The sequence below is a fragment of the Homo sapiens genome, chromosome 14, assembly GCF_000001405.40.
Source record: "Homo sapiens chromosome 14, GRCh38.p14 Primary Assembly".
Classification (NCBI taxonomy): domain Eukaryota; kingdom Metazoa; phylum Chordata; class Mammalia; order Primates; family Hominidae; genus Homo; species Homo sapiens.
The window spans coordinates 81,098,676-81,115,119 of NC_000014.9; the positions used below are offsets into that span (position 1 = coordinate 81,098,676).

The window sequence follows — 16,444 nt, forward strand, 5'->3', positions numbered from 1 at the left end:
GCAACAAAGACTCACATTAGCAGGGGCAGGGATAGGAGGTAGTAAGGAAATCTTCAACCAGGGAAACCAAAGCTGTTAATATGGCTCCTGAATTCAGTGTGTTCACCTGACTCTTGCCTGAACTAGAACTGCCTTTCCAGAATGGTGGATTAGAGAAAGAACCTGAAACCTGGGATATAGGGTAATTGATTTCTAAAACATTAATTTTTCCACAAGCAAAAGATTTTGGAGCCCAAGATAAGAATCTATGCTTCAAATTAACTGCCTGTTTTTCCTGCCGTATTTAGTCATTGGAAGATATGACCCTCAGACACTATCAATTATCATTTATTCAAGATAGAGTATAAAATTCAGACCTTAAGGTCTACAGAGCAATAATTCTCAACATTAGGGAGTTTTCAAAGCACTAATGCCTAGGTTTTGCCGTCAGACATTCTGGATGTAGCAGGATCATGGGGATTTAAAACTCTCTCCAAGTGAGTCCAATACAGAGCAAAAGTCAAGAACTACTGCTGTAAAATACATTATCAGTCTTCTTGTCCAATTGTCACGTTTTACATATGAAGGGAATGAAGCCCAACAAGAACACATGGCTTTTTTTTTTTAACGTGGCTGTTTTAATTTGATAGAGCTTCCTAGTGGCCAAGTCAAAGCTGAGACCTGGGTCCCCTGGTTCAGAACTCTTTCCCTGCCCTCTGCTGGGATTCATCATGGCTGACTTACCAGCCATCACCAAGGTGTGAACATCCAACTCTGGCAAGTGCAGCTTGTTTCTTAGCCCTGAAGATTGCTTAGACTTCTTAGCTCAATCTATTAAAGGCGCTAAACACAGAAGTTAAAATATCTTGATCCTGAAAAGAATGAGATCATGTGAGAGAAAGAAGGCAACTCAAAACTCGAGGCATAATCAGGAGAAGTTTCAGAGGACAATCACATCAAGAAACAGTGTTGTTAGTCCACGAGAACCTGACTTTACCAATGCTGCAAAGCCATTCGTGAGCTTCCAGATGAAGTCTGGTCGGCGATAACCTGACAAAAATGCTGGGATGATAAAACGTTATTCAAGTCAAAGAATTGGTATTGAACTTAGTTTACGTATATTGACTATTTTCCCTCAAAACATCTCACTCCTCCTCATGATTGGCCTCCTGGTCATGTTTAGAGAACTCTGCAAAGACTTCAAGAGATTTTCAAAAGAGGTCTTCTTCAATCAGGAAGTGTTAGTGTGCTAAGTGGATCTCAGTGTAGGTCTAGCAGCTTATTATCTTATGACCAGCCATAAAATTAGACACAGAGTATCAAAGGAGTTTAGAGACATTTTCTATTGAAAGGATGGAAAAACGAACAAGTGAACAATAATTTCTCTTTGAGCTTCTCCTCAGCCTTTGTGATAAGAGAAGGGATGGGAGAGGGGGAGCTATGTTCCTTTAAACTATATTTCTTCAACTCTCTTTCCATAGTAAATTAATGGGTGTTACTTTTTAAAAGAAATTTATGATCTTATAAAGTTAAACAAGATATATAAGTGGACTTTTCAGATCTTCTAATAAAATCATCTGAATTATTCATATCAAAGAGGGGGCCTTAGTTTGCAGAGCTTCTCAAGCAGTTCTCAGTTACAGGAGCATCTCTCTGGTCTGGTGTTCTACAGACTTTTGAGGGGAATACCGCCTCTGATAGGTAGGAAAAAAATCAAGGTGTTTTTCTACCATCACACACTCAATACAACAGTTTTGACACCAAATGTTTGGAGGCTTTTCCCCCACACAACAAGTAATCAATTCTCCAATGCACACCAGCTGGATGTCCTACAATTTAACTCAGTTCTGATACTCTACCTGGAGATAGCATCAGATCCACAGGTTAAGGGCTCAGTCCCACAAGACTGCCTGCTACTTCAGATGCCAGTCACAGCTCCCAGGTTGTGTCCTATGCTTCTGACTGACCAATTATAAATCAGGGTTCCCCCAGTCCCCTCCTCAGTTCAGTTAATTTGCTAAAGCAGCTCACAGAACTCAGGGAGACACTTTAAAGGATATTACAAAGGAGCAGCTGTGTGGCAAAGATGCATAGGGTGAGAGGTAGGAAGGAGTGCAGAGCTTCCATGCCCTCTCTGGGCACACACCCTCCCCTCAGCTCCACATGTGCCTTGACCACCTTCCAGCTACCTGGAAGCTCATCCAAACCCTCTCCTCTCTGGCTTTGTATGGAGGTTTCATTACATAGGCTTGATTTATTACATCACTGGCCATTGGTGATCATCTCAATCTTTTCAGCCCCTGTCTCCTACCTGAAGGTGAGAAGGTGGAGCTGAAAGTCCAACCCTCTAATTATTTATTGATCTTTCTGGTGACCAGCCCTCATCCTGAAGCTATCTAGGGATTGACAGTCACCAGTCATCTCATCAGCATACAAAAGACACTTGTCACTCTGGAAATTCCAAGAGTTTTAGGAGCTGTGTGCCAGGAAACAGATAAGACCAAATACATATTTCACAATATTACACTACTGAAGAAGAATCTTTCGATATACCATCTGCTTGGGAAGCAGGTAAATTTAAGAAGGTTTATTCAAGAGATAGCTGTGGAGATTCTAAGAACTAGTAAAGATTTCAAATGATCAGATGGCCTTCTGAAATTAACCCTATGGAAAAAGTACGCAAAGTCCTCACTTAGCATCCCAGATAGGGTCTTGAAAACTACAACTTGAAATACAAACAATGTATAATGAAACCAATTTTACCATAGGCTAGTTGATATAAATAGGAGTTGAGTTTCTATAGCATATTTCTGGTCACAAAAACAACCAAACTTTTGCATAAGGACCAAAATGCTTCTAATGTTAAATATGGAAACAAATATGAGCTATACATACATTTAAGGTAGGTTAATAAAAACAAGAGAATTATTTGCCCAATTATTCCAGTTCAAGGTCACAGGTGGCCACAGCCTATTCCAGAAGCTCAGGGCACAAGGTGGGAGCCAACCCTGAACAGGACGTCACCCCAACATGGGACACAATCACACATACCACCACACTCACTTGAACTGGCACCATCTAGACACACCAAGAAACCTGATCTGCACATCTTTGGGGTGTGGGAGGAAATTGGAATACCTGGAGAAAACCCACACAGACATGGGGAGTGTGTGCACACTTCACATAAACAGTAGCCCTGGCCTGGAAAGGATTTTATTCTCATTAAAACTAAGCAGGCCGGGTGTGGTGGCTCATGTCTGTAATCCCAGCACTTTGGGAGGCTGAGGCAGGTGGATCACAAAGTCAGGAGATCGAGACCATCCTGGCTAACACGGTGAAACCCCGTCTCTACTAAAAATACAAAAAAATTAGCTGGGCGTGGTGGCGGGCGCCTGTAGTCCCAGCTACTCGGGAGGCTGAGGCAGGAGAATGGTGTGAACCCGGGAGGCGGAGCTTGCAGTGAGCCGAGATCGCACCACTGCACTCCAGCCTGGGAGACTGAGAGAGACTCCATCTCAGGGAAAAAAAAAAAAAAAAACTAAACAATAGTGAATGAGACAATATTATTAGAGGATCTGCTGTATATATAGAGACTCTCCGTACGTTCACACCAGCTTTCTCCTCAGACCATATCATGGATTCTGTGGGAGGCTTAGCTGACGGCAGAGATATTCTGTCAGTGACAATGGATTTTCAATTCACTGGTGCCATGACTTACTGTCTAACTATCCCTTGAAACATAGGAAAGAAATCAGTGTACTATTTCACAATACTTTCTTGACATTTTTATGTTAAGTATTAAAGTTATTTGGAAGAGTTTAACAAATGTGGAAACTATTTCTTTGTTAAGAATCTTTTGTGTCTTGGTTTCTAAAAGTCTAGATCAGGGGTCAGCAAACTTTTTCTGGGAAAAGCCCAGATAGCAAATATTTGGGGCCTTATGGGACATATGGTCTTAGTTGCACTACTTAAGTCTGCCTTTGTAGTGTGAAAGCAGCCATAGACAATATATAAACAAATGAGCATGGTTATGTTCCAATAAAACTTTATTTACAAAAACAAGGGCAAGGTAGGATTTGACTGGAGGGTCATAGTTTGTAGACCTCTGGATAAAAGTATTCAGTGAGGATGACCATTGTGTGGCGAAATATGTACTCTGTTTCTCTGAATTTCTGGTAAAGGTTAAAGGGCAAGCGTGGGATCAAGATAAAAAGTATCTGGATTAAAATATTTGGCGTTAGAAAGTACAGATCCAATCATAATAGAAAACAAATTTTTTTAATCAGTATTTTGAATCCAAGCTGGAAACTGCTCCTGTTATAAAACAATGCTCCATCATTCTACCCTAAGTTTCTGACTCCTAGTCAATAGAAATTTATTCTTTCCTAGATTTAAGCACTTCAGTAAAAGGTATCATGTAAATCCAGTGTAAAATCAAAATGATGGTTGTGATAAGGAGCCCTGGGACTGGAGGAAGACAAGGATTGAGCTATAGGTGAAGGAAAGAAAGGTCAAGGTTCCATGGTAATAATAAAATAGTATTCACATTGTGTTTTTAACATAGGGATGTTGCTTTTGGTGTCAATGCTAATTAAGATTTTAAACTAAGGCAAACACATCAATCTCCTGTAATTATCTTAATAGTGTTCAAGGATTTCACATGGCATGTTAGCAATTTGGTAATTTCTCCAGAAGTTTGTCCAGGTATCATTAGGTTCTCATTTAAACAATGTGTCATCCAAAAGAGCAATCATCCCCTATCATTCCACTTCATGACAATTTACTGAAATTAGCAGATCGACCTCATTTACACTCATTTTTTAAAATGTAACTGAATAATACAATTACAGCCAAGCTGGACAAATTCCACATCGAGTGCAAGTGCTGATGCCTCAGCAGCAGTCAAGCAATTAGTTAGGATTTCATGAAAATGATGGCAGATGTGTAAAAGCACATTGTCCTATGACTTCCTATGGCGCCAAGAATGTTGTCATCACTCAGAGGTGAAATTAATAATAATACAAGCATCCCTTGCTCAACAGAAGTTGAACTGTACTTGGTCACAAGTTAAGTCACACATTCATTGTTTGGAATTTCTTTTCCATCCTCTTTCCACGCAATCTGCGTGGGGATATGTTGCTTCTCACAGAATGTCTGATTCTCTGTATCACATTTCCTATTGTCAAACTCTAGTAACTAGCTACTATCTGACAGTAAACATTTAGGCAGGAATAAAAATACCATTTTGATATGCTAAGAGCCCACCAATACACTAATTATTATGAACAGAGTCAACAGAATTAATGTGCTAATTAGCATCATGCATTAGCTGATTCGAAGTAAAACACCACATCTTGGCACACTGGGAAAAGACAATGATAGAGAATATTATAGGATTAAGAAGGCTATTATTTATCATGGGGTAAGTATTTGAACAGCTTGTAGGATATACTCTAAGGCTGACTTTTCCCTCTGCCTATTGAGAGCTTGAGTATTTTCTCACAGGTTACTATTTACAAACAGCTGTCCTGATTTCTGCTACAAAAGGATTTCCATAGAGCAATCCAGCTTCTCTTTAAACTAACATGAGAGGTAGGCAGGGGGTCCCTTTAATTTTCTGAATTAGCAACGCTGTGGGAGGAAAACATGGTTCCCCACAGAAGTGTTCCCATGAGAGTCTCACAACATAATCAAGGCCCAGCCCAAGTTCCCCATAAAGGGACTGTGGAGGCACAGGCTGAAATTCCATCTTGGAGCTGCAATGTATCCTAAAACTCCCCAGAGAGCCAAGTTCAGCAGCAATAGCAAATTCTCTTGCCACGACATCACACTCCTCTCTCTGGCATAGATCACGTCTTTCTAAACCTGGTATAGAGGGTGCCTCTTTCTAGGAGTCACCCAACAATCAGGCTTTCATTCCTTCCTCCAGCAAGTCTTTACTGAATGGCCGCTATGTGCCACGAGTGAGTCCAACAGAAAAGGGCGTACATAAACACACATATAGTACACATAATACTGAGTTTGTCAATCGAATATTTTCCTCAGCTCATTCCTCACCACCTTCATTTTCCTGACTGCATTGGTCTTCCCTAACTGTGAACTATTCACAATCTTAAATCAGGGCAGGGCTTCTTAACTCCATGTATGGAAATCTGACATCTCTTTTCTCAGAAGAACTTCATTTCTTCCAACAGGTTCTCAAAGAGGAATAAGACCCCAAGCGGTGAAAAGCTGTTGAACACATAGAGATGTAGCCATGTCTATCTTATTTTTAAAGGAAATACCAGTTCTTTTCTCATAAGCCCTTTCCAGCATAGATATTTAGAAACCCTGACTTTCAAAAAGTATTTCCTTTCGTCTCTTACTACAAGCCTTTTGAGTCTCTTTTAAGCTACTTTATGTTCATCTTCTCCTTGCAAGGGATAGTTTTTATCACTCCTCTCTAAAATAATCATTTTCTAGAGTAGGTTAACCAGATAGCCTACCAAGATTTGTGACTGATTTATCCAAGCTGGTTACAAATGTGGATTTCAGAAGAATCAAGGTAAGTCATGGTCAAGGAATCAGTTTAACTAGACTGATAATCCCAGGAAATGTCATGTGATAAATGAGGTTGATGGAAGCACTTTCCTGGATATCAAGGCTTCTGTATATGTATTTCCCCTCCCCACTGTCTTGACTTCAGATGGAAGGCAAGAGCAGCAAGCTGATGCAAGGTTGAAAAGCTAAATGAGGCAGCCCTCAAATCTGCTGAAGGCAGAGTGATGGTTTCACTTTTAAGCATCTAATTAACTCTAAGAGGTAAAGTACCCCAACAGCAGTGCTGGTTTTAGAGAACACAGTCTCCTGAAGTGTCAGTTCATCTCCGTTCATCTTGGCCAGGGCTCCTCTGCATCCTCCTCCTCCCCTCCTGGACTCTGGCTGGCTTTTCCAGTCTGAAGTCTTCTGCAGAGTTTCTGGTAAACTGCAATGCTTATCAACCAGGCTCCTTATCCTCAGGAGTATATTAAATATCAGATGAAAACACTGCAGAATTGGACAAGCAATAATTTAGTTTTACAATAATTTCTAATGATTAGAAAGAACAAGCTGAATTTCACTTGCAGCAGTTAGAGATGAAGAGGAAAAACTGAGATGAGTTCACCGGCTCTTACTTGATTTTCAACAGCCTGGGAACAGAATGTGATCTGCAAGCTGCATTGTCCAGAGAATACAAAAAGAGATGCAAGCCAGTGCAGCCCTTGTACTGAACTTAGTTGTCTTTTTACAAAATCATGCTGTTCAATATCTTCTCTGCAGTTGTTTTTTTTTTTCAAGGTGGATTTTGCCCACTCTGGGTGTCACTGACCAAAGGAATTCCATGGACATAGTGGGTTAAAGGAGAGTCAAACAATGATCAAGTGGGGATTGTGATTGAAGCCACTGGGAAGGCACAGATTGGCTGCTTTAGCATCTTAGCCAGGTCTCTGAATGCATTTGAGATTTATTGACTCTCCCTTTGTCATACTTAACAATGCCCTGAATACTGGGTGTTCTGCCACTACCAGAAGATGCCAAGTTTGGGCTATACCCTTGAGGTGTTTGTAAACCAGATGCCTCAAAAATCACTACCTCAACAAGAACAGTTGGTCAAATGCCACCACACCATAAGCCAAGTCTTCTATTTTTTCACTCTTTATGATTTTTTCTTTAAAGCAATCGTCTGTGTCACCCTAAGAGTTTAACACTGCCCACTTTACTGTCTTGATGAAAAAGTATGTTGATTTATTTTCTACTCATTCACATATTCATCCAACAAATAGTTACAGAGATGGTGAACTTGGCACTGGGTAGACATAGAACTTTCATTCTGGCTGGGGAGACAAAAAATAAAGTAAACAAATAAATAAACAAGGTAATAATTATGGATTGTGATAATGCTGTGAAAGAAATAGAGAGTGTATGGAGGCAAAATGGTAATGGCTACTTTAGATTAGCTAGTTCTCAATCTCTATTTAAGAAGAAAATTGGGCCGGCACGGTGGCTCATGCCTGTAATCCCAGCACTTTGGGAGGCCGAGTTGGGCAGATCAGTTGAGGTCAGGAGCTCGAAACCAGCCTGGCCAACATGGTGAAACCCTGTCTCTACTAAAAATACAAAAATTAGTCAGGCATGATGGCGATCGCCTGTAGTCCCAGTTACTCAGGAGGCTGAGGCAGGACAATCGCTTGAACCCAGGAGGTTGCAGTGAGCAGAGATCGTGCCACTGCATTCCATACTGGGCGACAGAGTGAGACTCCATCTCAAAAAAAAAAAAAAAAAGAAGAAGAAGAAAATTGAAAGACCCAAAAATATATACCAATTTATGACATGTCATTTTGTGGAGTCTCAGCACTTACTCGTCATTTAGTGATTCCCTCATCCTGCCCAGAAAGGAGAGATTTCTTCAGCACTGGTGATTGGTAAAACTCTTCTTCCTCCCACGGTTTCAACGAAGACTCATGCCTGGGTCCAGTTAACCAGGAGGGAAGTTTCTCTGTGAGGGCTCTGGAGAAGAAATCCTTCCGACTGAAGGCTTAATATTATTATTAACCATTACCCTTAAAAATGTTCCACCATGAAGAGCAAACCCCGTAAGTAGAATAATGGAAGCATTAGCCATATCTAAGCAGACCTTCTGAGGGTCTCTGCTATATTCTTTTGCATCAACAGGTGGCCACTCACTAATGTTTAAGTGGACCAGGTTATGTTGTGAGTTATTCTAAATGTGTAAATTGGGAGCATTTGTAACAAGGATATATATATGTGCTATGCTTCTTTTTAGATAATTTTGTTGTGTAATAAAGTTATGGGGAAACAGCCAGTTTCAAAATCCTTGGAAGCTTTTATCCATTTGGAGGGAATTTTATTTCAAAATCACTTTGTAACTTAAATTGCTCCAAAAACATTTTACCCTCTAATGCCCAGTGTGTTTTTAAAATGGAATGGCCAATGTGCCCACCAAACCTCTTCCATGGAAGGTTGATGAGATTACTCTGTAATCTCATCTGGCTAAACACTGCTCACACACACACTATTGGGTTGTCAGATCAAATACAGGCCACCCAATACAATTTGAATTTCAGATCAACAACAGACAACTTTTAATATAAATATTTTTTAAATTGCATGGCAAATATTTTTACTAAAAAATTATTCATTGTTTATCTGAAACTCAAATTTAACTGGCATCTTGTATTTTTATTTGCTAAATCTGACAACTTTACCCAAAGAAAACATCTGAATCTCTGACAGTCCTCAGCATCTCTCACCACCCTCACCATCTTCATTCCATTCCTAATTTAAGCCTAGTCTTCAAAGTTAAATTGGAATATAAATTAATACTAACAAACAAAATTTGGTATTACAGAGGATTGGCATTAAAGAGAATTAAAAAATACAGTTGCCACTGGCCTGAAAAATAGGGAATTAAAACAACTTTTAAGAAATTTAGGTATGCAAACTAGATCATAAACATGCTCATTTTCAAAAACTTCTGCCATAATTAATGTGTAAAACTTTATACAATTGAAACCTAGAATGTTTTAAGTGCTCAAGCCAGAAGAAGATAAAGTATCTTCTAAATTCTTGAAATCAGTCAATACTATGGTCACATTTTATTCTGATATTTGTACTAATTTGATGTGATTTCTTAAAATCACCTAATTCATTCTCTCTCTCTCTTTCTCTCTCTCCCTCTAGTTACCTAAACAAGAATAAATACCTGACAGTTATTGACAAAGATGCATTTGGAGGAGTATACAGTGGACCAAGCTTGCTGTGAGTAAGACATACAAAAGAATATTTTAGTCTTTTTTTTTCTTTTTTTTTTTTTGGAATAAATGGAGACATTAAGGGGAGAATCTTATGTTCAAGGGTAGAAAATGTTGCTGTCTCGGGTAAAGGCTTCTGCAAGTCCCTCTTTTCCTGGCTGTATAGGCTACCTCTTGGAAGAAAGTCCTTGTCCTTTGAGACTCAGAAGGCCCCACGCTCCAGTATGCCATCATGATGCCTGCTAAGGCAGCCACCTTGGTGTACATGCTCACAGAGGCTCTGTTCATGGAGCAGCTGCTGTTTGAAAAATTTTGAAATGCAAGATCCACAACTAGATGGAAGGCACTCTAGTCTTTGCAGAAAAAAATGTACCTGAATGTACATTGCACAATGCCTGGCACAAAGAAGGAAGAATATAAATGATAGTTCGACTCGTCTGTGGAAGAACTTACAATCATGGGGAAAGATGGAATAAAAACATTTTTTAAACAGCATGAAAACATACCTATTTGTGCATTTCCTTTGATTTACACCCCCACATCCAATCAGTGATCAGGTTCTATTGATTCTGCTTCCCTGAAGCCTCTGTATCATTGCCACCTTCCTCATTCCCTTGGTTTTGCCTCAGTTTAGAATCTCATCATTGAGCATCCACTCTAGTCCTTGCCAAAGTGGATCACAGGCCGGGCACAGTGTCTCACACCTGTAATCCCAGCACTTTGGGAGGCCGAGGCGGGCAGATCACGAGGTCAGGCGATCGAGACCATCCTGGCTAACATGGTGAAACCCTGTCTCCACTAAAAATACAAAAAATTAGCTGGGCGTAGTGGCGGGTGCCTGTAGTCCCAGCTACTTGGGAGGCCGAGGCAGGAGAATGGCATGAACCCAGGAGGAGGAGCTTGCAGCGAGCCCAGATCGTGCCACTGCACTCCAGCCTGGACGACAGAGCGAGAGTCTGTCTCAAAAAACAACAAAAACAAAAACAAAACAAAACAAAAAAACAAAGTGGAACACAGCACCGTAGAGATACACAAGATAATCTGTTAGGGGCGAGAGGAAATATTAGAGGTTCTATTTATACTTATTTTTAAATAAGAACAAATTAAGTTTTATTAATCTTTTATTTATAGATAGCCACTGTCCCTCAGGTGTCAGGTAGGGGTGGATGCCTCCTAGAGAAGGGTGAGTGATCCACAGTCCTGAGCACTGGATACCTTCACTCTTTCACCTTTAACAATGTTATTTCACTTTCAGACTGAATGCACCCAGTGCATTTAAGGTCCTGTTCTCTTAACACATACGCTCCATCCAAATAAGAGGTCAGAGTGATCTTGAAAATCTGCTGTGCCACGTGGGGGTTACTGTTAATTCATGGCAAAGTACTTAAAATTATTATGCATTTTTCTTTTTACAAGAAGACAAGTGGGGAAAAAATGTATTAACCTTTTCTGTGATAAAGTCCCTGTCAGTAATTTTTAACCTGGAAGATATTTTTCAATAACACTTTTATATCTGCTTCTTCAAGATTAAGGTACTACTTCGCCAAGTAATAAGAAAAGTCATTGCTTTTTCAAAGAAATGTATGCTTTAGAGAAAGGCTTTAGAAACAGGTATTTGGAAATATTCACATATTATGCGATTTTCCTGATAAAAAATTGTCAATGCCATAAAAATTCTGTTTGGTTCAAATCAGAAATAGAATTTTAACTTGTTTTTAAATCTTTCAAATTAAGTTTGTTATGAACTAAATTGTATCTGTCTTCCTAAATTCAAATGCTGAAGCCTTAACCTCTAGCATCTTAGTATGTGACTGTATTTGAAGATAGGGTCTGTAAAGAGGTAATTAAATTAAAATAAGGCTGTTAGGTGAGCCCTAATCCAATCTGACAGGTGGCCTCATAAGACAAGGAGATTGGGATACACAGAGAGACACCAGGGATGGGCGCTCACAGAGGAAAGGCCACGTGAGGCCACAGCAAGAAGGTGGCCATCTGCAAGCCAGGGAGAGAGGCCTCAGGAGAAGCCAAACTTGCTGACACTTTGATCTTGGACTTGCAGCCTCCAGAACTGTAAGAAAATACATTTCTGTTGTTTAAATCAGCCAATCTGTGGTATTTTGTTACCATAGCTCTAGCAAAGTAATACAGAGTTGTAGCAGGTTTAAAATCCATGTGTATAAAATGTGAAAATGAAACACCTCCAGATCACCTTGCAAAAACAACTGATTGACATCAGAAAATATAAAATTTCATTAAAAACATGTATTTAATTACTGAATTAGATTGAAAAATGAGAATCTTAGTTTAATAAATGCAGTTAAGCCTGCTCTATTCTTGGTGAAACACCCATCTTTGGTAATTTTTTCAACTAGGACGGCCATTTAAACCAAAATCAAAATAAACTGAACCAAAAGCAGACTTTGAACAGCCATAGCCAAAAGGGTTAAAAATAATTTTCAAAACTAATTAAGCATATTTGATAACATTGCTTTTGCTTTTATGAAACTTTAAAAAATATATATTACTTATCTTCATTGCATTATTTTAAAATGTATGTTTAGTGTGTTATGGTATATATTATATAGTATTACAAAAATACATGTATAGGGTTCATGACTGTTCATATGTTAGTGGTACATACTCAGATATTTTTTACTTATTAATATGTGAGATTGAAAGAATTTGAAGACCAATAGTGTAGACCAGAACCACTCAAAGTGAGTTCATTACAAGGTAAGTGGCTGTCCAGGATATACAGCAAAGCACAGCTTCTTTTTTGGAGAAAATCTTGTCATGAAAATAAAGTCAACCAAACTCAACAGTGTGTTTAGTTGAAGTAGCTGGCTTACATCCAGCATACGCTTCTTATCCTTGGAATGGTAAGAAGCTATTGGCCAATGGGCACCATACGTTGAGTAGCAGTAGTCTAGATGATTAGCGTCTCCAAATCTGGCTCCTGCCTTTATTTAGTCTTGGTTCCTCTCAAATCCACCCTCCCCAAACCTCTTTGGGTTCACATGCAAATAGAATCTTAAACCCAATACTGGCCTCCCATTCCCCTCAGGATAGAGGTCTTGGTGTGGCTTGCAAGGCATTGCCATAATCTTCAGCTTTGTCTTTTACACTACTTTACGCCTCTGATCAATGGTCCATCCATATCGAACCTCTTAGCTCCCTTAATTCTCCAACCTACTTACACTGTTATGCTAAACTCTTACTCTTCCTACTGTCTGGAAAACCCTGCTATAATCTTGTCTTTCTGATGAGCACCTGCTGGCATTTTAATTCTGCCTTAGAGGGCAGAATTGTATTTCCACAATTCTGGTTCATATTATAATGCCCAAAACACAGTATGAGCTTAATAAATATTTGTGAAATTAATATGGTACCCAATAAATAATTAAAGCACTCTTCTGTAAACATTATAGCACTTAAAGAGCAATCATATTTTAAAGATATTTTAGTCTGTTGTCCTCAAGGGAATGTGTCCATTTCTACTTCTTTGGAAGTGGTCAATTAAACTACCTGCTTGTACTGCCTCGAAGTTGTTTTTTATATTTATGGCAAGATTTTCTACAAGACTCTCCCACCAAGTTAAGAGGATTTGTGAAACTGCCTGAAAATGCTTTCCCTGCCTCTTGGTGGCATTCCAGGTTGTGGAAAGTGACAAAGATGAGGAGTTATACCTGGAGTTGACTCCCAGCCCCATCACTTACTAACTGTAAGACCCAAGTCTCAGTTTTCTCATCTGTCGAAACAGGATAAAGTAAGCTAATAAAGTTTAAATAAGATAATAAAGGAACTAAATATATCCTCAATAATGTTAGACATTATTATGATTATTTTCACTTCTTCCTGAACTTTGACACTTCATTATTCTGATCTGTTGTAACCTCTCTGATCACTCCTTCCCCATTTCTCTCCTTAGCTCACTGCATCATTCCTCAAAATGGGGTTCCATCCTGGGTCCTGGCTCTTTTTCCTCTATATCTTCTCCTTTGGTTAAATCATCTGCTCACAAGTATCATGAGAATGTGAATGATTTCTAAGTTTAGGGCCTCATACCTTAGCTCTTATTTGGCCATTCACCCAGCTGAAATTCTTTTCTTGCTCCCTCTCATTCCTATCCAATCCCAACAATCTGGTTAAACTCTCCCTAGCCAGCCTTTGAAAATGTACAATAAGCATTTACTGATGAGAACTTGCTAAGCTTGGGATTCTTCACTGGGAACTACCAGTAGGGGAGGGTCACTACATTAAAGAACAGTGAGTGAAAAGCCTCATCAAGAAGGTGGCAATTCAGAAAATATCTGAAAGAAACAAAGGGACAAGCCTGGGGACAATCTGAAGAAAGAGCATTTTAGACAAGTGCAAAGACCCCCAGGTGAGAATATACCTGGCACGTTTGAGGAATAGCAAGGAGGCCATTGCCGCTCAAACAGAGTAAAGTAAACGGGGGAAAAAGTAAAAGCTGTGATCAAAAAGATGATAGGGTTGAGGAGCAACTTGCAGATGGTCTTAGAGGCCATCATCAGGTCTTTTGATTTGCTCTTTAGATAGAGGGGAAGCCATAGGAGCATTTTGAGCATAGGTGTGTCACAGTCTGACTCAAAGTTTCACAGGAACATGCCGGCTGTTGTGTTGAAAATAAACTGTAGGGAACCAAGTATGGAAGCAAGAAGACCACTTAGGAATATGCCAAAATAATATAGGCATGAGATGAAAGTAGTTTGCACTAAGACAGCAGCAGTAGAGATGATGAGAAATAATCTGATCCTGACTATATTTTTTAAGGTAAAGCCAACAGGACATGCTGATGGATCGGATATAGCAGATGATGAGAGAAACGAAGGAATCAAGGAGAACTGTAATTATTTTTGACTGAGCAGTTAGGAGAATGAGATCACTATTTCCTGAGATAGGGGAAGTTAGTTTGAGGTCCCATGATGCATGCAGGCAGGCAGTGATATATGTGGGTTCAAAAGTCACAATAGGGGTCAGGGCTAGAGATATATTTGAGACTCTTTGGAATGTAGCTGGTGATGAGGGGATACAGGTATAGAAGAAATCTCAAAAAATGAATAGAATTGAGACTTCTGAACTTTCCCCACCAATGTGATTTCCCTGATCTTTTTTTAAACAACATTAAAATGACAGTACTTCTGAGAAAATATAAATACATTAAAAAGCATGTATTTTTAATGACAAAGAGTAGGAAAGGTGATCATGTGAGTAAATGATGAATGTCTTCAAAAACCAAGAGAGAGCTGCACGCTAAGTACTTGCATGGGTGAAATCAATAAAATGCAAGCTAATTCAAATCACAAAATCTAGGAAATATTTTATCAATTAAATCTTAAGTGTTCTGCAAATGAGAATATAGGTGACACTGAAGCTGGTCAGTCTCATTCTGCACAGTCAAGCACTACTTCTTACTCATCCCAGAAAAAAGACTAGAATTTTCTTTCTGTTAAAATGTCATCACCAAGACTCAAGGAGAATAAGCACAGTTGGGGTTAGAAGGCAGGTACTGTTCTGAAAACAGGATTATATGAAAATTTACATTCTAAAATGTAAGAATAACAATCCTCTTATCCACTCACTCAACTCATAGAATATTGGCAAAATGTATACCTTCCAAGTAAGAGATGAGAGTACTGAGGAAGCTGACAGGCCCAAGGAAAAGAAAAAAAAAAAAAACCTACAAAAAGTATCACTGGGGGGGAGGAGCCAAGATGGCCGAATAGGAACAGCTCCGGTCTACAGCTCCCAGCGTCAGCGACGCAGAAGACGGGTGATTTCTGCATTTCCATCTGAGGTACCAGGTTCATCTCACTAGGGAGTGCCAGACAGTGGGCACAGGTCAGTGGGTGCGTGCACTGTGCGCGAGCCAAAGCAGGGCGAGGCATTGCCTCACTCCAGAAGCGCAAGCGGTCAGGGAGTTCCCTTTCCTAGTCAAAGAAAGGGGTGACAGACGGCAACTGGAAAATCGGGTCGCTCCCACCCGAATACTGCGCTTTTCCGACGGGCTTAAAAAACGGCGCACCACGAGATTATATCCCGCACCTGGCTCGGAGGGTCCTACGCCCACGGAGTCTCCCTGATTGCTAGCACAGCAGTCTGAGATCAAACTGCAAGGCGGCAGCGAGGCTGGGGGAGGGGCGCCCACCATTGCACAGGCGTGCTTAGGTAAACAAAGCAGCAGGGAAGCTCGAACTGGGTGGAGCCCACCACAGCTCAAGGAGGCCTGCCTGCCTCTGTAGGCTCCACCTCTGGGGGCAGGGCACAGACAAACAAAAAGACAGCAGTAACCTCCGCAGACTTAAATGTCCCTGTCTGACAGCTTTGAAGAGAGCCGTGGTTCTACCAGCACGCAGCTGGAGATCTGAGAACAGGCAGACTGCCTCCTCAAGTGGGTCCCTGACCCCTGACCCCCGAGCAGCCTAACTGGGAGGCACCCCCCAGCAGGGGCACACTGACACCTCACATGGCAGGGTACTCCAACAGACCTGCAGCTGAGGGTCCTGTCTGTTAGAAGGAAAACTAACAAACAGAAAGGACATCCACACCAAAAACCCGTCTGTACATCACCATCATCAAAGACCAAAAGTAGATAAAACCACAAAGATGGGGAAAAAACAGAACAGAAAAACTGGAAACTCTAAAAAGCAGAG

The 16,444-nt window shown here is 40.2% G+C and overlaps 1 protein-coding gene and 1 long non-coding RNA gene across 12 annotated transcripts in view; one reads left to right on the plus strand and one right to left on the minus strand.

The window, feature by feature from the left end:
* TSHR (thyroid stimulating hormone receptor) overlaps positions 1-16,444 on the plus strand; it is a 190,686-nt gene that overhangs the window by 143,055 nt on the left and 31,187 nt on the right. For 2 of the 4 annotated variants that reach the window (NM_000369.5, XM_011537119.3), the window contains one exon: positions 9,700-9,777. In NM_000369.5, the coding sequence (NP_000360.2) occupies positions 9,700-9,777 (78 nt within the window). Of the gene's footprint in view, positions 1-9,699; positions 9,778-9,873; positions 10,266-16,444 lie in introns of those variants that run through there. The other 2 variants (NM_001142626.3, NM_001018036.3) reach the window with 2 other exon arrangements.
* TSHR-AS1 (TSHR antisense RNA 1) overlaps positions 1-16,444 on the minus strand; it is a 156,341-nt gene that overhangs the window by 84,610 nt on the left and 55,287 nt on the right. For 2 of the 8 annotated variants that reach the window (XR_001751022.2, XR_007064290.1), the window contains exon 3: positions 724-851. This is a non-coding gene — a long non-coding RNA (TSHR antisense RNA 1). Of the gene's footprint in view, positions 1-723; positions 8,506-10,474; positions 10,515-16,444 lie in introns of those variants that run through there. The other 6 variants (XR_001751018.3, XR_007064289.1, XR_007064288.1 and 3 more) reach the window with 5 other exon arrangements.